Source organism: Homo sapiens, chromosome 19 (genome assembly GCF_000001405.40).
Source record: "Homo sapiens chromosome 19, GRCh38.p14 Primary Assembly".
In the NCBI taxonomy this organism is placed as follows: domain Eukaryota; kingdom Metazoa; phylum Chordata; class Mammalia; order Primates; family Hominidae; genus Homo; species Homo sapiens.
In genome coordinates this window covers 47,743,489-47,771,456 of record NC_000019.10, presented here as the reverse complement: position 1 = coordinate 47,771,456, position 27,968 = coordinate 47,743,489, and the positions used below count along the sequence as shown (strand labels likewise).

Here is a 27,968-nt window from a genome sequence, read left to right as displayed (position 1 = left end):
CTCACGTGATCCACCAGCCCTGGCCTCCCAAAATGCTGGAATTACAGGCATGAGCCACCACGCCCAGCCTAAGCATGATTTTTTCATGTTCTGTTCCATCTCTCCCTACTGGAATGTGCACCTCGAGTTTTTCTTTTTGGTTCTCTTTCCTGGTATGTGCCCAGAAACTAAACAGTGAGTGGCACGTGACAAGCACTCAAATCCTTGTCAGATAAATGCATCTTTAGGAAAATATTTAGTAAGTTTACTGTTGGCTGAATGCAGTGGTTCAGGCCTGTAATCCCAGCACTTTGGGAGACTAAGGTGGGTGGATCACCTGAGGTCAGGAGTTCGAGACCAGCCTGGCCAACATGGTGAAACCCTGTCTCTACTAAAAATACAAAAATTAGCTAGGCGTGGCGGTGTATGCCTGTAATCCCAGCTACTAGGGAAGCTGAGGCACGAGAATGGCTTGAACCCGAAGGCGGAGGTTGCAGTGAACTGAGATTGTGCCACTGCACTCCAGCCTGGGCGACAACAGCAAGACTCTGTCTCAAAAAAAAAAAAAAAAAAAAAAACCTTACTGTTGAGTCGCTTATATTAATGAATACAATTTCGAACATTATTCATTTTCACAAAAACCATCTATAAAACCACAAGGCGAGGCTGAGGCAGAAGAATTGCTTGAACCTGAGAGGCGGAGGTTTCAGTGAGTCGAGATCGCGCCACTGCACTCCAGCCCGGGTGACAGAGCGAGATTCTGTCTCAACAACAACAACAAAAAAACCACATGGCACTTATCTGAATGTTCACAAACATTTAAAACAATTAAATCATGTAAAAACCGTATGTGAAACAGGAAAGCAAACTCGGTCATTTGTTAGCACCAACCAAGGAAATTCTTATCTCACTCTCCCTGCGATAACTCCCCTCTCTCTCTCTGGGCCAGCACCAGGTGCTTGGAATTCAGGCATGTTGGTGGGGAGGGGGTGTCTGTTTAATTTCCTGCTCAAATAAGCCTTTGTACCTCCTTAAAGGGAAAAGGCATATTTCAGATTTAAAATTTTTTTTTAAGTAGGGCTTATAGGCTCTTCTTCCACTGGGTGCAGAATTTTCCAAAGACCCACTGAGTTCCCGTCAGGCCTCTTCAGTTTGCCAGGAACATAGGCACACTGAAATTTGTATTGTACCACAATACAAATGCATACGGTGCGAGGCGGGAATCTGGTATAATTTATTCTGGTCAATACGGTACTCAAAGTAGCCATCCCGTTATTTGTGTGCTGGCTACACAAAGGTATACGGTATCTGCAGGTGTCTGGGAGCATTCTGCAGTGCAGGTGACTTCCTCAAATGCCACCTTCTCAGTGAGGTCTTTTTTCTTTTAAAAATATATTTTTTACATAAATCTTCAGATGTACAGATCAGCAAATTTTCCATATGTATAATATCATTTAACCACCCCAGATCAAGATATGGATCATTTCCAGTTCCCCAAGTTTTTCTCACACATCCTCCCAGTTAATTCCCTCATAAGGGTCACCACTGGCCTGACTTATTTCACCATAGATCAGTTTGGCCTGTTCTCAAACTTCATATAAACGTAATCACATACTGTGTACTCTTTATGTCTGGATTCTTTCCCTTGACATTATGTCTATGGCGGGTGGATGGATGGATGATGGATGGATGGATGGATGGATGGATGGATGATGGATGGATGGATGGATGGATGGATGGATGGATGATGGATGGATGATTGATGGATGGATGATGGATGGATGGATAGATGATGGATGGATGGATGGATGATTGATGGATGGATCAACGGATGCACAAGTGGATGAGTGCATGAATAATTGGATGGATGAGTGGGTGGATGGATGGATGGATGGATGGATGGATGGATGGATGAGTGGATGCTAAACCTAATGATTTTTTTTTTTTTTGAGACGGAGTCTCGCTCTGTTGCCCAGGCTGGAGTGCAATGGCGTGATCTCAGCTCACTGCAACTTCCGCCTCCCGGGTTCAAGCGATTCTCCCGTCTCAGCCTCCCGAGTAGCTGGGATTACAGGTGCCCGCTACTACGCCCGGCTAATTTTTGTATTTTTAGTAGAGATGGGGTTTCACCATGTTAGGCTGGTCTCAAACTCCTGACCTCAAGTGATCTGCCCGCCTCAGCCTCCCAAAGTGCTGGGATTACAAGCGTGAGCCACCATGCCCGGCCTAAACCAAATGGTTTTAGCAGCCATTGATGATGGTTGCCCATGGATGGATGGATGAGTGGATGGATGGATGAATGAATAAATGGATGGATGGATGAGTGGATTAGTGAATGGATGAGTGGATGAATAGTGGATTATGAGTGGCTGGATGAATAAGTGGATGGATGGATGGATGGATGAATAAATGGATGGATGGATGAGTGGACAGATGGGTGGGCAGTTGGGTGGATAAATGGGTTGATGGGCAAGTAGGTGAGTGGACAGGAGTCTAGCCAGGTGAGGTTTCCTCCCAGAAGGAAGACCACTGATATGACATCCTGTCCTTCACACCCACCTTCTTTCTCCTCTCTCCTACTACCCTCAGTCCCTCCTGCTGTTCAATGCTCCCTGGACACCAGCAGCAACTGCGCCTGCCTGGTGGTTCACATCTAGCTGGAGCTCCAGCTAGTGGGCAGGGAGACATAGTGCTGCTCCCAGCAGCCACGCTGCAGCTCCATGCCCACTGGGAAAACACCTAGAAAGACAGCTGGGCCTTCAAGCCAGAGGCAACAAGAGGCTCCAAAAATCAACTGCAAGGAGGTGGCAGCCCTAAGTAGACACCTGCTGGAATTCTGGAATTCAGGATGTCCAGGTAACCAGAGCATCTCTGCCCACCTGGGGCTTCAGATGGCCTGGATTCCAGTCTAGTCACGGCAGTGCCTTCTACCCTCCTCAATATCTGTGTCTTGACGTGGAAGTAATCACTCAGTTTTTTGGTTGGTTGTTTTTTTGGAGACAGAGTCTCGCTCTGTCACCCAGGCTGGAGTGCAGTGGCATGATCTTGGCTCACTGCAACCTCTGCTGCCCGGGTTCAAGTAATTCTTCTGCCTCAGCCTCCCTCAGCCTCCCAAATAGCTGGGACTACAGGCACATGCCACCACACCTGGCTAATTTTTGTATTTTTAGTACAGACAGAGTTTTACCACATTGGCCAGGCTGGTCTTGAATTCCTGACCTCGTGATCCACCCGCCTTGGCCTCTCAAAGTGCTGGGATTACAGGCGTGAGCCTCTGTGCCCAGCCAATCACTCAGCTTTTTAAATGACATTCATTTGTTGAAGAAAGCAGGTTGATTGGGTTTCCTACTGTCTAGATTTGACTGGTTTCACTCTGTGGTGTCATCTAACATGCTCCTCTGTCCCTAGTATATTCTATAAACTGGGAGTTAAATCTAGACTCTACTGGCCAGGTGCCATGGTTCACACCTGTAATCCCAGCACTTTGGGAGGCTGAGACGGGCCTATCACTTGAGGCCAAGAGTTTGGGACCAGCCTGGCCAACAGGGTGAAACCCTGTCTCTACTAAAAATAGAAAAATTAGCCAGGCGTGGTGGCGGGCGCCTGTAATCCCAGCTACTCCAGAGGCTGAGGCAGGAGAATCACTTGAACCTGGGAGGTGGAGATTGCAGTGAGCAGAGATCACGCCACTGCACTCCAGCCTGGGTGACAGAGCAAGACTCCGTCTCAAAAAAAAAAAAAAAAAAAAAGAAAAGGAATTGATTGTGGTCCTTTTTCTTTCCTTTTCTTCTGAGCTCCTTATATAGTAAAAATCACACAGCACTTGGCAATGTGCTGGGCACTGCTGTCAGCATTTACAGCATAAATAAAGTAATAGGTATTACCTCATTTAACGATAGACACTAGTATTCTCTCTCTTGAGGCTCAGAGAGGTTAACTTCCTCAAAGACACACAGCTGGTAAGGGATGGAGCCAAGATGTGATTCCAGGAGCTTGGCTCCAGAGTCCATGCTACTAACCAATGCCCTGTATCACCTGCATCAGCAGGCGTTGATTAAGCACCTTCTGCATACAAGGTTCACATGACCCCTAATAGTTAAAGATGTTTAGGATGTCAGAGGAGAAGCTGTAGTTCCCTGTTCATGGAGTTCAGATGGGAATAATCGGACTGAGAAGACTTGAAACCAACCCCCCAGCTTTTAGGTGGGGAGCCCGGTATTGCTCTTGATTCTACTTCACGTGGGTGGGGTGGGGAGAAGGGTGCAATTCAGGCTGACTTTCTGGAGTAGAGGGGCTTGAGGACAAAGGGGCAGGAACCCAGTGGGCCAGGGAGAGGGGCCCAAGGCTGATGTGCCAACAAGAGGAGGGGTGAGGCGGCCAGACTTGAACGCCAGACTCAAGGTTTGGATGGACTCCCGCCAGTGACAGGGGCAGAAGCGAAGCCTGGGGAAAGCAGCTGAGATGGGGGAGGGGACATCAGGGCATGTTTCAGGTAAGTTCTGCTCATAAGTGTCTGAAGCCGAGTTGTGACTGGCTTAAGCACTTCGCTCGTGTAATGGAAAAGCCTAAGGGAGGGCTTCAGGCACAGCTGGATCCAGATGTTCTGACGTCATCTCCCTGAGTCTGTCTCCCTCTATCTCTCGTCTCTCCTTCCTTAGGTTCCCTACTACCTCTGGTGACTCACAGGACTGGAAGCCCAGAACCTCTATGTGGAATCCTAGACCACCACAGCTTTGGGTATGTGACACCCTGAAATTCTGTCCCTGGAGGGGGAAACATTCCTTCAGCCCCTAGGGGTTCTAGGTAAGGTCCCAGACTGGCAATGGGAGAAAAGACAGGTGGGTGGTTGTTAGGGGTGAAGCCTGACACCCTTGCTCACTGAAAAGCGGCAAGGGTTTGACAGATCTGTCTCAGCAACTTCTCGCCCTGCCCCCACCATGGCAGACACATGGCCCTAATGGCCAGGGACCCCTGTCCGCCTCCAGGCCCACTGCCAGAATCCACACCCTTCCCTCCTGCTCACCCTCTACCTTAAACCCCCCGTCTCCCACTCTCCAGGTCAGGAACCCCTGCTGGCTCCCGCTCCCCAACTCCAGTGGGCCGCAGTCCCGGTCAGGGCCAGTGTGGAGGCCTTTGTAACCAGTGTGAGCCACTCAAGTCTCACCAACTGACCCCCAAGCCACAGCCCCTAGACCTCCAGAAGGCCCCCTGGACAGACCTAGGAAGCGGTCTCCATGGACCTGCTCCTGCCCATTCAGAAAGCAGCACTAACCCGCTGGCCCTCCCAGGGTCTAGCTGTCACCCTGCCTGCTGCAGTGTGACCCCTTGAGGGATCCTGAGCAGGAGTGACAGGAGAGCTAGGGCCGCTTGGGACCTCCCAGACTGTCTGGTTCCTGGCACAGGCTCAAGGCGCCTCCTGGCGGCCACTGTCTCCCACGTCCAGATTCTCCTTGAACTTGGGCGGCCCTGCATTTGATGGTCACACAGGATCAGGGAGTGGGGGCATTATTGATCACGCAGGACCATGGTGGTGCTATGAGGTTGCTCCCAGCCCTGAACACCCCCTCCCCGGGCAGTTCTCAGCAATGGATACCCTGCCCCGGCCTCCTGGCTGACCCTCCTAGGGTGCCTTCCAGCCTTGTGTGGGCAGGCTGGGGAGTAGCTCATCCGCAGCCCCGATTCTCTCCCACACCCTCCCCGCCACCTCTGCTCAGTGCCCTGTGCTGGTCCCCACCCCCCACCTTTTTCTCCTTCCCCCAGACCTCCCTGCCTTTCACCTGTCACCTTTGGTCTACGTGCAACTCCTACCCAGTCCCACTGCCTCAAATGCCACAAACCCACACGCTGACCACACATCTCTCCCTGCCAGGTCCCCAGAGCTCTGGTTCCTGTGTCCGCCAGCTCAGCAACATCGCCGTTCACAAGCCAAACGGGAAGCTCAGGCCTAATCCAGCCAAAGCCTCATCTGAATTTCTCTGCCCCAAAACCTACTCTCACTTGAGTTGTGTCTACCCATTAACATGGATTTTTTTTTTTCTTTTTTCTTTTTTGAGACAGAGTCTCGCTCTGTCCCCCAGGCTGGAGTGCAGTGGTGGGATCTCAGCTCACTGCAACCTCTGCCTCCCGCGTTCAAGTGATTCTCCTGCCTCAGCCTCCTGAGCAGCTGGGATTACGGGCGCCCACCACCACGTCCAGCTAATTTTTGTATTTTTAATAGAGGCAGGGTTTCACCATGTTGGCCAGGAGTCCTCTGACCTCAAGTGATCCACCCCCCTCAGCCTCCCAAAGTGCTGGGATTACAGGCGTGAGCGTGAGCCACCACGCCCAGCCTTTTTTTAAAAAAAAAAAAAAAATAGAGACAGGAGTCTGAGCAAGATGGCTCATGCCTTTAATTCGGTCCTTGGGAGGCTGAGGCAAGAGGATCACTTGAGTCTAGGAGTTTGAGACCAGCCTGGGCAACATGGGGAGACCCCATCTCCACTAAAATAACAAAAATTAGCCAGGCATAATGGCATGCACCTGTGGTCCCAGCTACTTGGGGGGCTGAGGTGGGGGGATCACCAGAGCCTGGGGAGGTGGAGCTTGCAGTGAACCATGATCGCACCACTGCACTCCAGCCTGGGCAACAGAGCAAGACCCTGTCTCCAAAAAAAAAAAAAAAAAAAAAAAAAAAAAAAACTGTAATGCATGATTGTCTCTAGCACCTAAATAGAAACCACTCCAGGTATCTTACAGGGAATTGAGTGCTTACAAAATCATGGGAAGCTGGCCGGGCGCGGTGGCTCACACCTGTAATCCCAGCATTTTGGGAGGCCGAGGCGGGCGGATCACGAGGTCAGGAAATCGAGACCATCCTGGCTAACACAGTAAAACCCTGTCTCTACTAAAAAAAATTGAAAAAATTAGCCGGGCACGGTGGCGGGCGCCTGTGGTCCCAGCTACTCGGGAGGCTGAGGCAGAATGGCGTGAACCAGGGAAGCAGAGCTTGCAGTGAGCTGAGATCACGCCACTGCACTCCAGCCTGGGTGACAGAGCAAGACTCCGTCTCAAAAAAAAAAAAAATCATGGGAAGCGGAAGCAGCAGCTCTAGGCCAAGCCCTCAGAAATGACACCCAGGACAGCACTGAACTGACCCAGCAGGGGCACTGCTGTCTCCAGTTCCGCTGCTGGAACTGCTCGGTTCAAGGACGCCAGGTCCAGCTGCAATTCCGGGATCACTCCTGCCGTCCACGCCTCACAGGGTGTCTCTAATTGTTGGCACCGAATTCTCATCCAGAATCCCAGCTGCTGAGGTGTCTGGGAAATACAGATGTTGCTTCTAACCTCTGATGAAAGGATGGAGGGAGGTCAGCCCTGCCCACCCAGCACCCACCACCACGAAGAGCGTGGGAGCACGTGGAGAGGACACAGAAAAGCAGATCTAAGGAAGAAAATAAAAATCCGCCAGGCAGGGCGTGGTGGCTCACACCTGTAATCCCAGCACTCTGGGAGGCCGAGGCGGGTAGATCACCTGAGGTCAGGAGTTCGAGAACAGCCTGGCCAACATGGCAAAACCCAGTCTTTACCAAAAAGACAAAAATTAGCCAGGCGTGGTGACACATGCCTATAATCCCAGCTACTCGGGAGGCTAAGGCAGGAGAATCGCTTGAACCCGGGAGGCAGAGGTTGCAGTGAGCCGAGATGGTGCCACTGCACTCCAGCCTGGGGGACAGAGCAAGATTCTATCTCAAAAACAAAAACAAAGGAAGAATCCTGTCGATTCCTTTTTTTTCAAGTTTGCTCCATTACAGAAAATTTGGGGCCTGGCTCAATGGCTCACATCTGTAATCCCAGCACTTTGGGAGGCCGAGGTGGGTGGATCACTTGGGGTCAGGAGTTTGAGACCAGCCTGGGCAACATGGCAAAACCCTGTCTCTACTAAAAATACAAAAAGAAAAAAATTAGCCAGGCATGGTGGCGTGGGCCTGTAAGTCTCAGCTACTCAGGAGGCTGAGTTTAGGGGATCACTTAAGCCCAGGAGGTTGAGGCTGCAGTGAGCTGAGACAGAGCCACTGTGCTCCAGAATGAGACCCTTTCTCAAAAAAAAAAAAAAAAATTGGAAATGCTGGAAAAAAGAGTAAGAAGGAGTCCTCTGAAATCCTCCCACTCAAGAGACTTTTGGCATGGGGGTTTGTCTGATGAACGCCAGTGTGGACGGCAGCAGATCCTGTTTGCTTTTTCCCACAAAGTATCCAAACACAAACACCTCCCAGTGGCTGCAGGCACTTCCGACCCCTCAGTTAATGGCCACAGAGGTGGCGTCCATGTGGCCAGGGCCCGCCCCATGTCCATGACCACGTTTCCTCCCATTCTGCAGAACGTTCTCAAGGACCGGCCTGTGCAAAATGCTCTTCCCCAACTTCCGGCTGTTTCTGTAGGCCACGTTCCCAAGCGTGCAATCACTGCGTCAAAGGGTCAGAGCATTTGGGAGGAGCCTCTGGCACAAATTGCAAGTTTCTGCATCTTTTTAAAATCATCTTCCCCTACCCTAACATTGTTATAACAGCAAATGCTCACCTAGAGCTTCCCCTGTGCCAGGGCCTGTTCCGATCGCTTTCCGTGCAGACTCACTCATCCTTGTAATAACCCACAGCAAGATAAGCACTATTGTTATGTCCATTTTACAGATATGACACTGAGGCACAGAGAGGTTGAGTAACCTGCACAACATCACACAGCCAGTATGTAACAGAGCGGGTCTGAAATCAGGACACGGACTCCACCATGCTCTTCACAACCCCATACTGCTGCCTACAGATGGTCTCCATGGTTTGTTTTTGTTTTTGTTTTTGTTTTTTAAAGAGACAGGGTGGCGGAGATTACAGTGAGCCAGGATCGCATCATTGCACTCCAGCCTGGGTGACAGAGCGAGACTCAAAAAGGAAAAAAAATAGACAGGGTCTCACTCTGTTGCCCAGGCTAGAGTGTAGTGGCACGATCACCGTTTACTGCAGCCTCAAACTCCTGGACTCAAGAGATCCTCCCACCTCAGCCTCCTGAGTAGCTGAGACTATGGGCACATGCCATTATGCCCAGCTCATTTTTTTTTTCTTTTAGAGATGGGGTCTTGCTATGTTGCCCAGGCTGGTCTCACTCCTGGCCTCAAGCAATCCTCCCAACTCAGCCTCCTGAAGGGCTGGGATGACAGGAGCAAGCCACTACATTCGTCTGGTCTCCATCCTTCTAAAAAGCAAAGTCATACCCATGCCACAAGCTTTTTGTTTTGTTTTGTCTTGTTTTTGAGATGGAGTGTCACTCTGTTGCCCAGGCTGGAGTGCAATGGTATGATCTCGGCTCACTGCAATCTCCGCCTCCTGGGTTCAAGCCATTCTCCTGCCTCAGCCTCCTGAGTAGCTGGGATTACAGGCACCTGCCACCACGCCTGGGTAATTTTTGTGTTTTTAGTAGAGATGGGGTTTCACCATGTTGTCCAGGCTGGTCTCGAATTCCTGACCTCAGGTGAGCCACCCACCTCAGCCTCCCAAAATGCTGGGATTACAGGCGTGAGTCACTGTACCTGGCTGATGCCTGAGGCTTTTATAATCTGGAGGACCCGCTTTAGGAAAAATAATACCAAGTTACAGACTCAAAAGCAGGTGCAGGGCCATGATAGAAACCTGTGCCATTACATGGCCCCGAAACCCCAATGTGCCATTTCCCTATTAGGACACTTTCAGTTAAAGTCAAGGGAATTTTTCTGTGCATACCCCCATACCCCACCACCTAGATTCTGCCCTTAACATTTCAGTGCTTTTGTTTTATGGGGCATCTGTTCATTAATCCACCTTGTTTTACGTTTTTTTTTTCTTTTTCTTTTTTTGAGACAGAGTTTCACTCTTGTTGCCCAGGCTGGAGTATAATGGCGTGATCTCAGCTCACTGCAACCTCCGCCTCCGGGGTTCAAGTAATTCTCCTGCCTCAGCCTCCCAAGTAGCCTAGCCGGGATTACAGACGCCCTGCCACTACACCCAGCTAACTTTTGCTATTTTTAGTAGAGATGGGGTTTCACCATGTTGGCCAGGCTGGTCTCAAACTCCTGACCCTCAGGTGATCCGCCTGCCTCCCAAAGTGCTGGGATTACAGGCATGAGCCACCGCGCCAGGCCTGTTTTACATTTTTCAAAGGAAACTGCAGACATTAGTGAAATTCGGCTTGTAAATTGTTAGCCAGAGTTCTGTATTTTGTTTTAGTCTCGCTGTCACCCAGGATGGAGCACAGTGGCATCATTATACTATGCTGCAGCCTCCACCTCCTGGGCTCCAGCCTCAGCCTCCCGAGTAGCAAGGACTACAGGAGCACAACACCATGACTAAATAATTTAAAACTTTTTTTTTTTTGAGACAGGGTCTCACTGTGTCACCCAGGCTGAAAGGCAGTAGATTTTGGCTCCCTGCAACCTCAACCTCCAAAGCTCAGCTGATCATCCCACCTCAGCCACCTGAGTAGCTGGGACTACATGGCACACACCACCATACCTGGCTAATTTTTTCCATCTTTTGTAGAAACCAGTGGGATTTTGCCATGGTGCCCAGGCTGGTCTTGAACTCCTGGACTCAAGCAATCCACCCACCTCAACCTCCTAAAGTGCTAGGATTACAAGTGCCACTGCACCGGCCTAAAAAATGTTTTTCTAGAGATGGAGTATCGCTGTGTTGCCCAGGGTGGTCTCCAATTCCTGGCCTCAAGCAATCCTCCTGCCTGGGCCTCCCAAAGTGACAAGATTACAGGCGTGAGCCACTGCGCCCAGCTGAATTCTGTACTTTTAGGCTTCTGACATAAAATTCGGATGTGAAATGTCATTTCTGTGCAAACACCCACAAACCCCTTTGCTGTGGACCCCCCATTTCACACACGGAAACAGACACATTTTCCCAGGCAATTAAATACCAAGGACTTCCTGAGGACACTAAGTGTCCAGGCCACAGAGTTTGTCCTTGAGTGGCTGTGACCACCCTCACCCCTGGGTATCCAGGAATGTGCCCGACGCTCCAATCGCCGTGTCCGGGCATTAAGAGCTTCCTCCCCATTTCCAGCAGTTTCCTTCAGTCACCCCTGGCAGAGTCACTGGGTCAGAGGCTGGCCTCCTTGATAGATGGTGTTTTTTTTTTTCTTTTTTTCCTGAGATGGAGTTTCACTCTTGTTGCCCAGGCTGGAGTGCAGTGGTGCGGTCTCAGCTCACTGCAACCTCCGCCTCCCAGGTTCAAGTGATTCTCCTGCCTCAGCCTCCCAAGTAGCTGGGACTATAGGTGCGTGCCACCATACCCAGCTAATTTTTATATTTTTTAGGAGAGATGGAGTTTCGCCATGTTGGCCAGGCTGGTCTCGAACTCCTGACCTCAGGTGATCCACCCACCTCCACCTCCCAAAGTGCTGGGATTACAAGTGTGAGCCACTATGCCCGGCCTCATTTTTACCTCTCCCTACTGCTCTATCGTCCACACATCCACCCCCCGCCGCCCCCAACACACACACACACAGCTGTTTTCCTACCTGCAGAACACACCTTTTTATTTAATATGGGAGGGGGAAGAACAGCAGAAATAGCTCCTTAAAGCCTTGTTCTGTGGCATGTGGTGGGGAGGTGGGAAGTTCTGACGTAAGTCTCTCCCTTCTATTTTATTTATTTATTTATTTATATTATATTTTATTATTTTTTGAGATGGAGTCTCACTCTGTCGCCCAGGCTGGAGTACAGTGGCACTATCTCGGCTGACTGCAACCTCCACCTCCCGGGTTCAAACAATTCTCCTGCCTCAGCCCCCCAAGTAGCTGGGACTACCAGCACACGCCACCACACCCGGCTAATTTTTTAGTACTTTTAGTAGAGACGGGGTTTCTCCATGTTGGTCAGACTGGTCTTGAACTCCTGACCTCAGGTGATCCACCCGCCTCAGCCTCCCAAAGTGCTGGGATTACAGGCATGAGCCACCATGCCCAGCCTCACTCATTTCTTTTATAAACTGCCTGCTCTATTTTTATAAACATTTTGTCCTAGAGAAGCTTTCCCAAAGGCCATAGTATAAAACGGAGAAAGACCAACAGAAAACGTAACACCCTTCCTTCCTGACAAAAGACACCACATACAAAGTCAAAAGTCAAAAGCAGCCTAGGGGAAATGTTTGCGACGTGTATGACAGACTGTGGGTCCACAATAAATAAAGAGCTACTACAAATAAACAAGAAAATGACAAACAGCACAGGAGAAAAATGGTCAAAAGGTTTGTACCAACACAGAAGAGGAATGTGAATGAATGGTCAGCAATCATATAAGGAGATGTTTAAGACAGGTACAGTGGCTCATGCCTGTAGTCCCAGCACTTTGGGAAGCCAAGGTGGGTGGATCGCTTGAGGTCAGGAGTTTGAGGCCAGCCTGGGCAGCATGGCAAATCCCCATCTTCAATAAAAATACTAAAGTAGCCAGGCATGGTGGCATGTGCCTGTAATCCCAGCTACTTGGGAGGACGGAGGTGGGAGGATCACTTGAGCCCAGGAGGTCAAGGCTGCAGTGAGCCAAGAAGCTGGGATTGCACCATTGCACTCCCACCTGGGGAACCCTACCTCAAAAAAAAAAAAAAGTTCAACCTCACTGGTAACCAGACACAATCAAATAAAAATAATGGAATCGCACCGTAGCAAAGCTACACGGCAACAGGCAGGCTCCTCCTATGCTACCAGAGAGTAAAAATCAGCACAGCCCCTTTGGAGACCAATTGGGTTGAACCTATCAAATGACCTGTTACAGACACATGTATCCTTCAGCCAAGATTCACTTCCAGGTACTTAACTACAGACACAAGTAAAAAGGCACGTGGACAAAGACATTGTTTCGGTTTCATTAGGAGGAGCCACACTGGCCTGGTTAAGAAACACAAGGCACACCCTCGTAATGGGATTCCACACAGCCACAAAACAGAAGGAAGCAGTTCTGTACAGACACAGAATTACCTCCAAGATGCACTGACAGCAAGCTGCAGAATCACGCACAGTGTGATCCTAAGACACCAAAAAAAAAAAAAACCAATTCTATCCTCACAAGTACATGCGTGAAATTTACGTTAGTTTTTTGGGGGGTGGGGGGGTCGAGACAGGGTCCTCTTTGTCATCCAGGAGAGACTGCAGTGGCGCAATCTCAGCTCACTGTAGCCTCCACCTCCCAGGTTCAAGCGATTCTCCTACCTCAGCCTCCCCAGGAGCTGGGACTACAGGTGCACACCACCATGCCTGGCTAATCGATTATGTAATTTAATAGAATCACACAGGGAGCATAATCACTCAAACCACACTGCAGTGACTGCTTGACAGGCAGCTCCAGAACAGGGGCGTGGATGTGACTGGAGGGCAAAGGTCAACAGTGACAGACACGTTTTGACAATGATTTACAGTGAGAATAAGTTTTTCGTTTCTTGTAAAGATTTTAAAAACGTTTTCAAAATAGGCACAGAAGGGAGGAAAATTACCTCATTTTATGTGCCTCTGTTTCCTCACCTTTGTTACTTAAGTTTTTGGTACAGGTCTCCCTCTGTCACCCAGGCTGCAGTGCAATGGCGTGATCATGGCTCACTGCAGCTTCCACCTCCCAAGCTCAGGTGATCCTCCCACCTCAGCCTCCCCAGTAGCTGCGACCATAGCTGCATCCCACCATAACTGGCGAATTTTTGGTAGAGATAGGGTATGGCTATGTTGCCCAGGCTGGTCTCAAACTCCTGGGCTCAAGTGATCTGCCCGCCTCAGCCTCCCAAAGTGATGGGATTACAGGAGTGAACCACTGTGCCCAGCCCTATTTCCTCACCTTTAAAATGGGAATAAGTACAGCCCTCATTGGTTAGGCCGCTGTGAGTTCAGTGAGTGAATCCACCTGCTTAAACCCGATAGCAGGTGTTCTATCGGCAGAGGTCAGCTGCCACCACTCCTTCTATCAGTGTGGCAAGAGCTGCTACGTCACCCGCAGCAGAAGGAACTGGGCTATTCTCCAAGTCGGAATCCAGTGGGGGAACCTCCTCCTCACCTCTGCTTCACCTCCCACCTCCAGACAGGCCATAAGCCCCGCGCCCTCTGCTTCACCTCCCACCTCCGGCCAGGCCATAAGCCCTGTGCCCTCTGCTTCACCTCCCAACTCCGGCCAGGCCATAAGCCCTGCGCCCTCTGCCTGCTGTCTTTTTAGGATCTGCCCAGGCTTGGAAGGGCTGCCAGCTTCACAGCTATTGGACAGACCACGATCCAGTCGGCTGATGACCCCTTCAGACACACCCTAGGCCCTCACCAGGCTCTGGCGGTGAGTTCTGGCACCTACATGCTTGTGCGCCACGGGGGGACACGCAGAGTCTGCACCCGGGAGCAGCCGCCCGCAGGAGGCACACAAGCCACACGTGGAGCCCACTGATCAGCTAGAAGAGATTTTTTATTGAAGGGCGAGTCTCCGGCATCTGATGGCAGCTACAACCTGGGGACAGAGGAAAGGAGCTGAGGGTGGGTGAGAGGGTGCCCCATACCCCCTGCCGACCTGACACCCCCTGCCTTTCAGTTTCCCTTTGGGGACCCTCCCAACCCCGCTCTGGTTTCAGGGCCTCTTCTGGGCATGGCCAAGGGGGTGTGGCTCAGCCACTAGCCACACTCTGGAAGGGGCCCTGGGACTCGGTGGGCACCACGGGGTGGGAGAAGGGCTCCCTTCCTTGCGCCGAAGCCGGGTGGACTCACTGGATCTCACGGAACGCCCGCTTCTCCACCAGCTTCACCTTGTACTTGCGTTTGAACCTGGAGCAGGGACAATGGAGCAATCAGTGCCCGGGGCCAATCCCAGATGCCCTCGCCCCACAGCAGCCCCGGCCGCCCCTTACTTGGCTCTCTCTCGAGGCTCGATCATATTCCTCCTCTGGAAGCTCTTGAACCGGTCTCGAAGGATGTTGCCCTCGGGCTACAGGACAGAGAGGGAGGCCTCAGCAGGGCCTGGCAGAAGCCCAAGGGCCTGGACCTCTCCTCGGGGTCCTGGCAGGGCTCAGCCCCATGCAGTCTCCCCCCAGGGCAGCCTGTGGGCACCAGGGACTCAGCCTGGCCCTCAGCTGCTGGGGCTCAGTGTTGGGATGACAGCCACCAACCTATGGCCATCTCTAAGCTGGGCTTAGAGGAGTCACGGGAAGTGGGCTGGTGACGACACAGAAAAGGGGACAGCGAGGGCAAAGGCTGGATCAGAGGGAGAAGGCACAGTCCGCTCATGAGCACAACTGGCTGGAGCCCCACGGCCGGGTCGGCCCAGGCGTGTGGCTGACAGAGGAGCTGGGCTTCCTCAGGGGCACTGGGGAGCCACAGCAGGTTCCGAGCAGGGGAGGGACAGGGTTGGTTCTGAGCTTCAGGAAGGTCCCTCTAGTCCTAAAGGTGACCGGGACTGCAACAGGGACCAGCTGGAAGGAAAGGCCTTCTTAGGGTCCCGGACTCAAACCTTAGCCTGGCCCCTCACCCTGGGATCTCATCCCAGCATCCCGTGCCCTCAGCCCCTGGGCATTGGCCCCACTGGCCCAGCCCAGGGGCAGCCATGGTGTCGCCCATAGCCCCTGGGGGGCACGGGGAGCAAGGATGGTGTCATCACTGGGCACGGGGCTCCACGGCAGGACACAGTGAGCACCTTCAGGGTCCTGAGCGAGTCTGTCAGCTCCGAGCTCAGCTGCACGTCGATGTCAGGTGCCTGGTACCTGCAGAACAGGGCGGGTGTTCAGAAATATCACCCCCGCGGGGCCCAGGACACCCAGTCCAAAGCCCCCTCCTGGAGAAGAAGGGGCCTCTGAGAATGTGGGGTTTTGTGGGGGAAGAGGTGGTCTCCCGATGGGGGGGGTGGGCAGTTCCTGAACAAAGGCAGGAAGGTGTCAGGACCTGGGACCCGGCCCCCTCCCCAGCCTCTCCCAGAACCCCCGGCCTGGTTCTCACTTGAGCCGCCCCAGCCTTCGGGGCTTGTCAGCCTCAGCCTCCCGCCGCGCCTGCCGCCGCCTCTGCCGCCGCGCCAGCTCCGCCAGCCTCAGGGCCACCTGGGCCTTGATCCCGCGCAGCCGGAACAGCTCCTGGTGCCGGAGCCGGGCGGCCCGCAACGCGGCCTGCTGTACCCGCTGTGGAGACGGGGGAGGGTCAGGGCTCAGGCCGGTGCTGCCCACACAGGGAGACCTTCTCTCTACACAGGGAGCCTTCCCTGCACAAACCTGCCTGTCCCCGGAGGCCCTTCCTAACCCCGTCACATCAGCGGCCCCTCCAGTGCCTTCCCAGCAGCTGTTTGCTGAAGCCCCTTTTGTCATCCATCTCCCCTGGTCTGCGGTGCAGAAACCTCCCCCCACCCCGCCCCTCAAACAGAAGCGCCAGGGACCCTGTCCCACCCCAGCCCGAGCCCTGCCTGGAAGAGGCTGGGAAATGAGTCTCAGCTGTGAGGATCCCAAACAGCCCAAACCACAGGCCACATGCGGGGCTTGGGGTGTGCAGGCTGCCCGCAGCACCCAGGGCAGCCCATGGTGGGAGGAAGGAAGGAAGGGGGCGAGGCATCAGAGGCAGGCCCCGCTGGCCCAGGCGCTCACCAGCCTGTGCACAGCCTTCTCCCGCCGCCGCTGCTGCTCCGTCTTCTTCTCTGTGGTGGCCAGGCGGGCGGGCGTGGGACAGACCTCGGCATCCCCAGCCTCCGGCCCCTCGCCCTGGCCTGGCTCCCCCTCACCATCCGACTCCTCCAGCAGCCCCTCGCACAGCTCCTGGAATGTGGACTCCTGGGGAGGCGGGGTGCAGTGTCAGGGGTGGGTAGGAGGCCCGGGGAGGGGAGGGAGTGGGCAGGTGCGGGGCTCACCTGGGTGGCGGCCTGCTCCGTGGCGGGCAGGGCCAGCTGCCGCTCCAGCTTCTCCGCCTCCTTCTGCCGCTGCAACTCCACCTCGTGGGCCGCTGAGAGCAGGGTCTGAGGGGCGGGAGTGAGGATGGGTCCCTGAACCCCTCCTGGGACACTGAGACTAGACCCTCTTACCTCCCATCTGTCCCTCATCCAGTGCCCGTGGATCCCGCCCCGGCCCAGGCTTTCCTCCCCACACCCCGTCTACCAGCACACCCACCCTGCACAGAGCCAGAGGGCACCTCAAACCCTCGCCCTCACACCTGCTCTGCACGTCTGTGAAGGCAGTCTGACCTGCACGCTTCACATTTTTTTTTTGAGATAGAGTTTCTGTCTTGTTGCCCAGACTGGAGTGCAATGGTGTGATCTCAGCTCACCACAACCCCCGCCTCCTGGGTTCAAGCGATTCTCCTGCCTCAGCCTCCCGAGTAGCTACTATTACAGGCATGTGCCACCATACCCGGCTAATTCTGTAACTTTAGTAGAGATGGGGTTTCTCCATGTTGGTCAGGCTGGTCTTGAACTCCTGACCTCAGGTGGTCCACCTACCTCGGCCTCCCAAAGTGCTGGGATTACAGGTGTGAGCCACCATGCCCGGCCCACAGTTTCATCTATGTGAATTGGTCAGGGTGGGCTGGTCCCTGAGACAGGAAGCCTGGCAGCCCAAGACCACACGAGACAGGGAATTGCGGGGGTGATGGCTGACATGTGTGAGGTTTCCTTTACGGACAGTGAAAATGTTCTAAAATTGACTGCGGGGATGGTTACACAATGGTCACTAAAAGCCACTGAATCACATACTCTAACTAGGCTGACCGTATGGTTAAGTGAATTTTATCTCTACGAAGTAGTTCTGTACAAATCTAAAAGTGAATGTCTGATCTCCACGCCCCCTCCCACATCTGGTCCAGGAACAGATGGCAGTGAGCGGCACCCTCACGCTTTCAACCATGAGCACACTGTTGCTTTTTTCCGCAGACACTTTTCTCTACCAGATGAGGAAGCTGCCTCTGTTCCTGGCTAGCTATCTCCTTCTTATGAATGCTGAAAACGATTCGGACAAGCGGTCCTGCATCTACCGCAAACATCTCAGCATCTCTCCAGTCACGTGACCCCATGAGAAGGGCTGTTCCTTGAGGGAGGGTTGTGCTTGTTTTTTGAGTCTCGCTCTGTTACACAGGCTGCAGTGCCGTGGTGCGATCATAGCTCACTGCAGCCTGGACCTCCTGGGCTCAAGCAATCCTCCCACCTCAGCCTCCCAAGCAGTTGGGACCACAGATGCGTGCTGCCATGCCCTGCTAATTTTCTGTATTTAGTAGAGACAGGGTTTCACCATGTTGGTCAGGCTGGTCTCCAACTCCTGACCTCCAATGATCTGCCCGCCTCAGCCTCCCAAAGTGCTGGGATTACAGGTGTGAGGCACCGCACCCGGCCAAGGGAGGGGTTTTTGTCCCCTTTGTCCACAGCATCTGTGCTCAACAGATGCCCGCTAAATGCACAGTGGCTCCAGCTAGACTTTCCCATCGCTGAGCTAGCCTCGCCCATATATAACTGTCACTTGGCTGCCAGTGTGCCACCGTGTCACCACAGCCTTTTTCATCTCTGCCCCACAGGCTTCCTGGAAGGCGCCACGGTCTCTCTCAACTCTGTGCCTTTGCAGTGCTGTTCCCACCACCTGGAAAACCCACTCCCCTCCTCCCACTGCAAACCCCTCCCTCAGCCTCTGCCTCGGCTCAGGCGACCCCTCCTCCCGGGAGCCCTTCCTGACCCCCCAGGCTGGGCCAGGTGCCCCGTCTGGGCTCCCAGCCCCAACCACTCTGCCCATCACTGTCTGGGAACAGGTCTCTTGCACTGGACCGTGAGCCCCGTTGCGGACAGGCCCAGGGCTGTCTGGGTCATTGGAGTTCCCAGCACAGGGAGGAAGCTAGTGAAGGCCTGACCAAGAGGCAGAGCCCACTGAGGAGGGAGGCCTGGACGGGGCAGTGTACCTGGTGGTCTTCAAAGGATGGATTGTAGGAAGCTCCGGCAGGCGCCACCTCCACGGCGGGTGCCTGGGACGGCTTGGTGTGCAGGCGTGCTGGCCGCTGTGGAGAAAAGGCCGAGGCAGGGTAAGGCCGTGCGTTGGGGCTGCGGGTGACCCAGGACACAGCCATGGGGCAGATGCTCCAGGCCTTGCCAGTGGTTGGGTGTGGGAAGAGCTCAAGGGGCATTCAGGTGACTCCAGAGCAAGACTCCATCTCAGAAAAAGGATAGCAGCCTATCCTCTGCTACCCACGAGGCTGAGCCCCGGAGATTGTAAGCACCTGGGCTCTAACACTTGGGGTCCAGCAGCTCAAGAAGGAGGCTGCAAATCCAAACTCAAACCCGTGACACTTCTGCCACTTGCCAGCACGGGCTCCACCTTCTCATGTGCTACCTCTTTACATTCTCCCCACCGACCCATGATCTAAGTACAATTTCATCTGTATTTTATTTTATTTTTTTTTTTGAGACAGAGTTTCGCTCTTGTTGCCCAGGCTGGAGTGCAGTGGCATGATCTCGGCTCACTGCCACCTCCACCTCCCTGGTCCAAGCGATTCTCCTGCCTCAGCCTCCCTAATAGCTGGGACTACAGGCACGTGCCACCAAGCCCAGCTAATTTTTTTTTTGTATTTTTAGTAGAGACAGGGTTTCACCACGTTGGTCAGGCTGGTCTCAAACTCCCGACCTCAGGTGATCCACCTGTCTCGGCCTCCCGAAGTGCTGGGATTACAGGCGTGAGCCACCATGCCCGGCCCTCATCTGCATTTTAGAGGAAGATATAGGTTGCAGAAAGGTGAGACCACCTTCCCAGGATCAGTCAGCACTGGAGCTGGGACAGGAATCCCAGCCACCTGGCTCCAGCACAGAGTTCTCGGCCACTGGGATGGAAGGGCTCTGAGACAGACTCTACTGCAGGAACACAGAGCAGCTCCCGGCCCTCCTCACCCTCCCATCACCCAGGATGCCCTTCCCACACATCTCACCTTCACTCCTTTCTTCTTGGTCTGCTCCAGGAAAAACTCATCCTGGCCAACCAACGGCCTGTCCAGGGGGTCTGTGGATACAGCGAGGGGAGCTGCTGGGACAGTCCCAGCATGGAAGAGGCACCAAAGGCTCCCCCCCAATCCCTCCACATTTCAAAAAGGTGACCCTGAAGCTCAGGCAAGGGAAGGACTGATTCTAGACCCCAAGGGCCTTGATCACCAGGACAAAACTGTGTCTGGACGGGTTCAGAAAGTGGAAGAGACCAAAGCTGAAGGCTTCCTTTCCTGAAGCCTCACAACTCAGGAAAGGAAAAGCACGAGTGGGAAACGGCCGCCCCTTCAGGACGCACGACTCTGCTGGGAGGTCACCAAAGCACCCACAAAGCACTCCCTTTCACACTGTACTCTCGTGCAGTGCACAACACACACAAACTGCACATGGCCGTCCTGTCCCCATTCATAGGTGACAGCAGGATCACTCACTGTCTGAGGCCCAGAGGTCGTAGAAGGGCCGCTCTACGGTGTCCTGGGGCCCGGGCTTGGCCCTTGTTGCAGAAGGGTTGAGGAGCCGGGCCTGGGCCCTGCGCACCTCCCGGGGCAGCTCGCCCTGCTTGGCCAGCTTCTCCCATAGCTGCTCCTTCCGCCTGAGCTTCTTGGCGTTGGGGACCTGGTGGGCGAGGACGCTGGTCGGGGAGAGGGGGCACAAGTGCAGCAGGTGAGGTGGCAGCCTGAACGGCAGCAGGGCCTCCTCCCCGTCGGGCTTCCTCCACCATTAAGGCAGCTTCAGCACCCCCTCTCCAAAAGGTGGCACTCCGCCCCCTCTTCAGAGAACTCCTCTCCCCACGTCTGTCTCCAGCCTAGGCCTCCCCTCTGAGCCCCAGACTCAACGAAGCAACAGCCCCGTCCTGGACATACCCCAGGCACCTCACACCACCACGTCAAAACCAACCTCAGCATCACCCGAAATCCCACTCCTCCACATCCCCATCTCAGGGGAAGGCCAGCTGTCCACCCTCTCACCCGCTCATGCCCCAAGACCCACCTGATGTGCCTCCTGAACACGCCTCCCACTCAGCCCCTCCTCTCCAACCCCGAAGCCCCCAGCTGGGTCCAGGCCCCTCCTCACCTGCCTCGGCCCAGCACCAGGGCACCCAGACTCCCTCCCTCTAATCTGCACTCCGAAGCCCAAACCTGAGCCTGCCCTACCCTTCAAATGACCCTCACCTACCAGCCCCCAGCCCCGGAAACCCTTTAGGACCAGAGTCTGGTGGGAAAGAAGGGCCCAGGGATGCTGGGACACTCACTCTTTGGGGGCAGGGACTTTGGATGTGTTCTCGAGGATGAGGTCAACCCGAAGGGGTTTCTTGAGAAGCAGTGACTTCTTCTGGACTTTGGTTCTCTTCTTTGTCAGCCCTAAGAATGGGAAAGAGAACAAGTCAAGGCCTCAGCCCTACCCACTGCCAAAGACCACCCACCCTATTCACCTCCATGGGAGCCATCAGACCTGAATCCCAAGTCACCCCAGGAGACTTGGAGGTCCCCAGGCTCCTACCTGGAGGTAGAGGCCCCTAAGGATGGGGCCCAAGGTGCCCAAGCTCTGACCCTCCACAACCAAGTGCTGGGCCAGCAGGAGGCAGGCCCCATGCTGGGGACACGAAGAGTCACGCCCACAGCCACATAGGAGGGTCTTCCAGACAAACAGGGAACCTCTTCCCTGCATGGTGGCTCACGCCTGTAATCCCAGCACTCTGGGAGGCTGAGGTGGGAGGATCGCTTGAGCCCAGGAGTTTGATGCCAGCCTGAGCAACATAGTGAGATCTCATCTCAGGGGGAAAAAAAAAAGGAAGAAAGCAAGTCATCAGTTGACACTGAAGCCCAGGGAGGGCCACAGAAGTGGACTTGGGACCCAGGATGGCCACTTCTCAGCATAACTTCTAGTTCTCTGGTTTTTACTGTCTTTTTCCTCCCACAAAGATACCTGTGGTTTTTACTTCAAAAGCCTAACAGTTAAAAGCAGTAACTCTACAGCAAAACACTCTAGAATGGAATAACACCCTTGCATGGACTGTGGGACCTCACACAAGAGGCTTAGCTCCTCCGTGCCCCCAAAATGAGGATGTGGATACCTCCCTCACTAGGCCGTTATGAAGATGTAATCATTTAAGGCCCACAAAGCACAGGGGCTGACCTGGTTGACTGCTCACAACCACTATGATCTTTGTCCGTGTTTCCTTACTAAAGTGGAACCCATAAACTGCCTCTTTCCTGCCCCCCAAAGAGGCTTCCCACTCGCCAAAGCACGCCGGTAACTACTTTCCCATCTGTTCATTACGGGCAGGTCACTGACTTACCCTTTACACTCACACACCAGATCAACTCACTTCGGTCAAGGCTGACTTCTCTAATAACCCCCCACTTTTTTTTTTTTTTGAGACAGAGTCTTGTAACCCAGGCTGGAGCGGAGTGCAATGATGCGCTCTTGGCTCACTGCAACCTCTGCCTCCCAGGTTCAAGCAACAATCCTGCCTCAGCCTCCTGAGTAGCTGGAATTACAGGCATGCGCCACCACGCTCGGCTAATTTTGTACTCTTAGTAAAGACGGGGTTTCTCCATGTTGGTCAGGCTGGTCTCAAACTCCCGACCTCAGGTGATCCACCCGCATCAGCCTCCCAAAGTGCTGGGATTACAGGCGTGAGCCACCACGCCCAGCTTGAGACAGAGTCTTGCTCTGTCGCCCAGGCTGGAGTGCAGTGGTATGATCTTGGCTCACTGCAACCTCTGCCTCCCGGGTTCAAGCGCTTCTCAGTAGCTGGGATTACATGCGTGTACCATGACGTCCGGCTAGTTTTTGTATTTTTAGTAGAGACGGGGTTTCGCCATGCTGCCCAGGCTGGTCTCCAACCCCTGACCTCAAGTGATCCGCCCCACCTCGGCCTCCCAAAGCGCTGGGCTTACAGGTGTAGGCCACTGCACCCAGACTCTAATAACCACTTTTTACCTGCCTATTGGAAGTCTCCTGTACCTCAGGGCAGCTCCTTCCACTCTATCTGGTCACTGAACCAGGTCCGCTCATTTTCATTAAAACATACCCTTTGACTGATCTCACACAAGCTCACTCTCTTGCTCATTAAAGCAGACCCCTTCGCTTGCTTCCAGGCTGTTCATTAGAGCAGATCATCTGTTCTTAGTTTGTTTTTCTACATATTGAAGTAAACACTATTACTCACCAGAGCAATCCCTCCCTCACGCCTCATCTTGTTTCAGCAGATCCCCACCCTACATTCTAGCAACTTAAGGCAAGCAAGTTAAGACGTGTGTTACCCGCTCACTAAAGCAAGTCCTCTTATTCCTATTAAAGCTCATCTTGGCCAGGCGCAGCGGCTCACGCCTATAACCCCAGCACTTTGGGAGGCCAAGGCGGGTGGATCACCTGAGGTCAGGAGTTTGAGACCAGCCTAGCTGACATGATGAAGACCCATCTCTACTAAAAATACAGAAATTAGCCAGGCTTGACCAGGCGTGGTGGCTCATGCCTGTAATCCCAGCACTTTGGGAGGCCGAGGCGGGCGGATCACCTGAGGTCAGGAGTTCGAGACCAGCCTGACCAACATAGAGAAACCCCATCTCTACTAAAAATACAAAATTAGCCGGGCATGGTGGCACATGCCTGTAACCCCAGCTACTCAGGAGGCTGAGGCAGGAGAATCGCTTGAACCTGGGAGGTGGAGGTTGCGGTGAGCTGAGATCACGCCATTGCACTCCAGCCTGGGCTTGAAACTCCATCTCAAAAAAAAAAAAAAAAAAAAAAAAAGAGAGAGAGAAAAGAAAAGAAATTAGCCAGGCTTGATGGTGCAGCCTGCAGTCCCAGCTACTTGGGAGGCTGAGGCAGGAGAATCGCTTGAACTGAGATCACACCACTGTACTCCAGCCTGGATGACAGCGCAACACTGTCTCAAAAAAATAATAGTAATCCCAGGCTGGAGTTCAGCGGCGCGATCTCGGCTCACTGCAACCTCCACCTCCCAGGTTCAAGTGATTCTCCTGCCTCAGCCTCCCAAGTAGCTGGGATTACAGGTGCCCGCCACCACAACTGGCTAATTTTTGTATTTTTAGCAGAGACGGGGTTTCACCATCTTGGCCAGGCTGGTCTCGAACTCCTGACCTCAGGTGATCTGCCTGCCTGAGCCTCCCAAAGTACTGGGAATACAGGCGTGACTCACCGCAACCGGCAGGACTGAGTTAAGCAGGTCCTTGACTTGCTTTTCTGCAAGCTAAAAAGAGATCCTTTAATGTGTTTCTAACTTATTCATCAAGGCAGACTCCCAGCAGCTTATCTGTGCATGGAGATCACTGACATCTCAAAAGAAAAACCTGCCTTCTCTAAGTTCGTCTCCAGCTTGCTTTCTGCCCATTTGAGGTCCCCTTGTTTATATTAAGGTTGACCTGTTTCCGCAGATATTTGCCTTCCAAGCCACATCATTAACACAGATCTCAGAGGCTACCGTAAGCTGACTAACAATGAATAACCGCCATTCCACACCACAAAAGCCTCTCCTCACCTTTTTCCTTGGAGCCAGTGTCCACGAAGAAGAGTTTTTCATTTGGGGCCTCTGACAACAAGCCACTGGGGGACAGAAATGCAGAACATCAGCCAGAGATGTTGGAGAGGAAAGAGATTTAACCTGGCAGGTCCAGCCTTCATCTTCCGCTTAGTCAAGTCCCGCCACCGGACTCTTCCAGGCTAAGGCTTCGCCCAGCAGTTTACAGAACTTAGTATTTAGGAAGGACTGCCAGGCGCAGTGGCTCACGCCTGTAATCCCAGCACTTTGGGAGGCCCAGGCGGGTGGCTCACCTGAGGTCAGGAGTTCAAGAGCAGCCTGGCCAACATGGTGAAACCCTGCCTTTACTAAAAATACAAAAATTAGGCTGGGTGTGGTGGCTCACACCTGTAATCTTAGCACCTTAGGGGGCCGGGGCGGGTGGATCACCTAAGGTCAGGAGTTCAAGACCAGCCTGGCCTGTAACATGGCAAAACCCTGTCTCTACTAAAAATACAAAAATTAGCCGGACGTGGTGGTGCATGCCTGTAATCCCAGCTACTTGGGAGGCTGAAGCAGGAGAATCACTTGAACCCAGGAGGCAGAGGTTGCAGTGAGCCGAGATCGTGCCATTGCACTCCAGCCTGGACTACAGAGAAAGACTCCGTCTCAAAAAAAAAAGAAAAAAGAAAAGAAAAGAAAAATAGCCGAGCGTGGTGGCGCCCGCCTGTAATCCCAGCTACTAAGGAGCTGAGGCAGGAGAATCGCTTGAGCCTGGGAGGCGGAGGTTGCGGTGAGCTGAGATCGCGCCTACTCCAGCCTGGGCGATAGAGCGAGACTCCGTCTGAAAAACATATATATATACATATATATACACACACACATATACACATATATATATACACACATATACACATATATATACACACACATATATACATACACACACACACATATTTAGAAAACAGCAAGCTAAGGTGGATGCATGGAACGTATTTATGCTAAAAATTATTCATTGTTTACCTAAAATCCAAATTTAATTGAGCGTCCTGTATATTTATCTGCTAAATCTGGTAACTCTATCAAGCTCTCCAGCTTCCCATGCTGAGTCCCCTGCCCATGCTCTCCATTTCCTCGGCGGTCCCCGGGACAGGAGCCCCCAACCCCCGACCCCCGACCCCCGACCCCCGACGAGTCCACGCAAGCACGCCTGGCCTTGCACCTGGGCGCAGGAACCGTCCCACCTCCCGGAAGTCCCGCCCAACGTACCCGCTCGTGCGCTCCTGTAGCCGCACGTCTTCCAGGAACTGGTCAACCTCCAGCCCCAGCGGCTCCTGAGCAAGCCGCCGCCAGCCCCGCTTCTTATTTCTTGGGCCTCGCCGCCGCCGCCTCAGCGCTGGGTCCACCGAAGTGGGCCGCAGCCCCAGGAAACCAGAATCGGCATCGCTTTTCGAGCTGCGCTTCCCACCAACGCCACTGCCTCCTGCCGCCATCTTGTCAAAGGAAGAACTCAGCCACTGGCGTCCCAAAAAGCCCCTTTGCAGCGTGCGCGCGCAGATTTCCCACCCTCTTCCGTGACGTACTTCCTGTGGCAGCCATATTTATAAAGTGACTGGAGTTGCCAGGAGGCTGCCATCTTGGTAAAGGATAAATGGCTCCTCCTTCCTCCATTCTTTACAGCGGGATCTGAAGATTCCTAACGGCGGCGGGTGGTAGGAAAGAGACGGGAAGGTTGCAGGTTCTTAGCTTTCGCCCTTAAGCGAACACCTTTCCCGGCCGCCTGGGGTCTTTGCTCAAACTGATTTTTTTCTTTAATAGATAAGGTCTCACTTTGTTGCCCCCAGGCTGGAGTGCAGTGGAAGGGTAATGGCTCACTGCAGCCTCCAACTCCTAAGCTCAGGGATTCTCCTACCTCAGCCTCCCGAGTAGCTGCGACCACAGAAGGGTGCATCCGCACCTGGCTAATTTTTTATTTTTATTTTTTGTAGAAATGGAGCCTCCCCATGTTGCCCAGGCTGGTCTCAAACATCTGGTTTCAAGTGATCCTCCTTCCTAGGCCTCCCAAAGCGCTGGGATTACAGGCTCACACCACCACTCCCGGTCCAAACTGATGTGTGTGTGTTTTTTTTTAAGAGACAAAGGTCTCACTATGTTGTCCAGGCTGGTCTTGAACCCCTGGGCTCAAGTGATTCTCCCTCCTCAGCCTCCGAAAATGCTAGGATTACAGATGTGAGCCACCATGCTCGGCCTGATTATTTTTTAATCTCGTTTTCTTAGAAAGTCAGAACCGTCAGTGGCAGATTCCGCACAACACACATTCCAATCTCAGAAGTTTTGTCCTCTCAAATGTTCCAATCCTAGGATCTTAGAAATCAAGTAACTTTCGGAATATCAAAGTTGGAAGCACAGAACATTAGAGGAATGTTAGAAACATACACTTTTAGGACCCTAGAAGTGCAGACTCAGAATCATTCATCTTGAGCGGGCTACTTCACTGTGCCTCAGTTTCCTCATCTGTAAAATAAAGATGATAACAGTACATCTGCGTCATAAGTCATGCAGAAGATTAAACATATGTAAAGCGCTTAAGGCTGCGTCTGGCATCTGAGTGTTAGCTATTGTTACTGCCTTGCCCTCTGAGGCTTCATCTTAGAATCAACTCATCTTTGTCATTTACAAATAAGGAAGGAAGCTCAGAGGCTCTTGGGCCCTGGCAGCCATTCAAAGGGATCCATGGCAGGGCGTGGTGATTCACGCCTCTAATCCCAGCACTTTGGGAGGCCGATGCAGGAGGATCGCTTGAGCCCAGGAATTCAAGACCAGCCTGGGCAACATAGTGAGATCCTGTGTCTGCCAAAAATTTAAAAATTAGCCAGGCGTGATGGTGTGCGCCTGTAGTCCCAGGTACTCGGGAGGCTGAGGTGGGAGGATCGCTTGAGCCCAGGAGTTGGAGGGTGCAGTGAGCCGTGATTGCACCATTGCACTCCAGCCTGGGTGACAGAGCAAGACCCTGTCTCAAAAACAAAACAATCAAATCAAAGGAATCCAGGCCTCATAAAAGCCACTCTGGACTCATAAAGGAAAAAGGCACAGAGAGGGCAGGCGACACACGCATGGTCACACAGCGAAATTCAACTGGATCCTTGCGCAGAGCGTTGGAAAGGTGACAGGCCCTAAAGGTGACAGGCCCTGGATCGCAGCCCCGAGACCTGAGCGCCGAATCACCTGGGCAGGGATTTTGGCGACCACAGCCTATCTGTTTTCTGAGCGTCCGCCAGGGGGCGCCGCGAGCCGCGAAACTGGGCCCGCGTGGGCGGGATGAGTGCGCGGCCAGCGTGTCCCGGGACGCCGTGGGTGTGGCCTGGATGTGAGTGCGCGGGACTCGGCGCGCACGGTGCGCTGCCCAGCTCTGGCCAAGAGTCCCCGGTGCGTGAGCGCGCGCACACTCCTGGCAGCCCGTGTGGGCAAGGTCACCACTTCCCCAACCAGAAACCAGCGTGTTCCTGGTGTTACGCGTCGGGAGTTATGTACCCAGGTTGTGCAAGGGCACGTTGCCGGGCAGGG

At 53.4% G+C, this 27,968-nt stretch overlaps 1 protein-coding gene, 1 long non-coding RNA gene and 1 other non-coding gene across 3 annotated transcripts, besides 5 other annotated features; 1 reads left to right on the top strand and 2 right to left on the bottom strand.

Moving 5' to 3' along the window:
- Positions 1–2,616: 2,616 nt before the first annotated feature.
- NOP53-AS1 (NOP53 antisense RNA 1) lies at positions 2,617–14,421 on the top strand. The gene is made up of 3 exons (NR_132382.1): positions 2,617–2,835; positions 4,638–4,716; positions 14,180–14,421. It is a non-coding gene; the product is annotated as an NOP53 antisense RNA 1 (long non-coding RNA).
- Positions 4,009–4,269: a silencer, noted in NCBI's record as "fragment chr19:48270445-48270705 (GRCh37/hg19 assembly coordinates)". NCBI's record gives its function as "represses an EF-1alpha promoter that drives an FKBP-Casp9 reporter gene in an ReSE screen in HepG2 liver carcinoma cells {active_cell/tissue: HepG2}" and the evidence as "EXISTENCE:reporter gene assay evidence [ECO:0000049][PMID:32094911]".
- Positions 5,011–5,305: a silencer, noted in NCBI's record as "tiled region #15394; K562 Repressive non-DNase unmatched - State 12:CtcfO". NCBI's record gives its function as "represses a minimal TATA promoter and a strong SV40 promoter by Sharpr-MPRA in K562 cells {active_cell/tissue: K562}" and the evidence as "EXISTENCE:reporter gene assay evidence [ECO:0000049][PMID:27701403]".
- Positions 14,399–25,911, bottom strand: NOP53 (NOP53 ribosome biogenesis factor). The gene is made up of 13 exons (NM_015710.5): positions 25,674–25,911; positions 24,426–24,490; positions 21,171–21,279; positions 20,350–20,549; positions 19,867–19,937; positions 18,850–18,945; positions 16,826–16,930; positions 16,566–16,748; positions 15,934–16,109; positions 15,635–15,701; positions 14,853–14,929; positions 14,713–14,769; positions 14,399–14,458 (listed from the first exon to the last, which is right to left on the bottom strand). Exons 1-13 carry the CDS (start codon positions 25,895–25,897, stop codon positions 14,452–14,454), a joined length of 1,437 nt encoding a protein of 478 aa, NP_056525.2. The 5' UTR covers positions 25,898–25,911; the 3' UTR covers positions 14,399–14,451.
- Positions 15,495–15,604, bottom strand: SNORD23 (small nucleolar RNA, C/D box 23). Its single transcript, NR_003048.1, has one exon. It is a non-coding gene; the product is annotated as a small nucleolar RNA, C/D box 23 (small nucleolar RNA).
- Positions 24,718–25,218: an enhancer, noted in NCBI's record as "H3K4me1 hESC enhancer chr19:48249496-48249996 (GRCh37/hg19 assembly coordinates)". NCBI's record gives its function as "activates a minimal SCP1, AML or CMV promoter by ChIP-STARR-seq in primed H9 embryonic stem cells {active_cell/tissue: H9 hESC(primed)}" and the evidence as "EXISTENCE:reporter gene assay evidence [ECO:0000049][PMID:30033119]".
- Positions 25,639–26,028: an enhancer, noted in NCBI's record as "active region_14870". NCBI's record gives its function as "activates an Ori minimal core promoter by ATAC-STARR-seq in GM12878 lymphoblastoid cells {active_cell/tissue: GM12878}" and the evidence as "EXISTENCE:reporter gene assay evidence [ECO:0000049][PMID:35858748]".
- Positions 27,593–27,702: a silencer, noted in NCBI's record as "silent region_10868". NCBI's record gives its function as "represses an Ori minimal core promoter by ATAC-STARR-seq in GM12878 lymphoblastoid cells {active_cell/tissue: GM12878}" and the evidence as "EXISTENCE:reporter gene assay evidence [ECO:0000049][PMID:35858748]".

Coding starts and splice junctions, on each gene's coding strand:
- NOP53 (NM_015710.5), bottom strand. CDS start 25,897: ATGGCGGCAGGAGGCAGTGGCGTTGGTGGGAAGCGCAGCTCGAAAAGC. Junction 20,550..21,170: donor AAAGTCCCTGCCCCCAAAGA/GTGAGTGTCCCA, acceptor CTCCCCGACCAG/CGTCCTCGCCCACCAGGTCC. Junction 16,110..16,565: donor AGAAGGCTGTGCACAGGCTG/GTGAGCGCCTGG, acceptor CCGTCTCCACAG/CGGGTACAGCAGGCCGCGTT.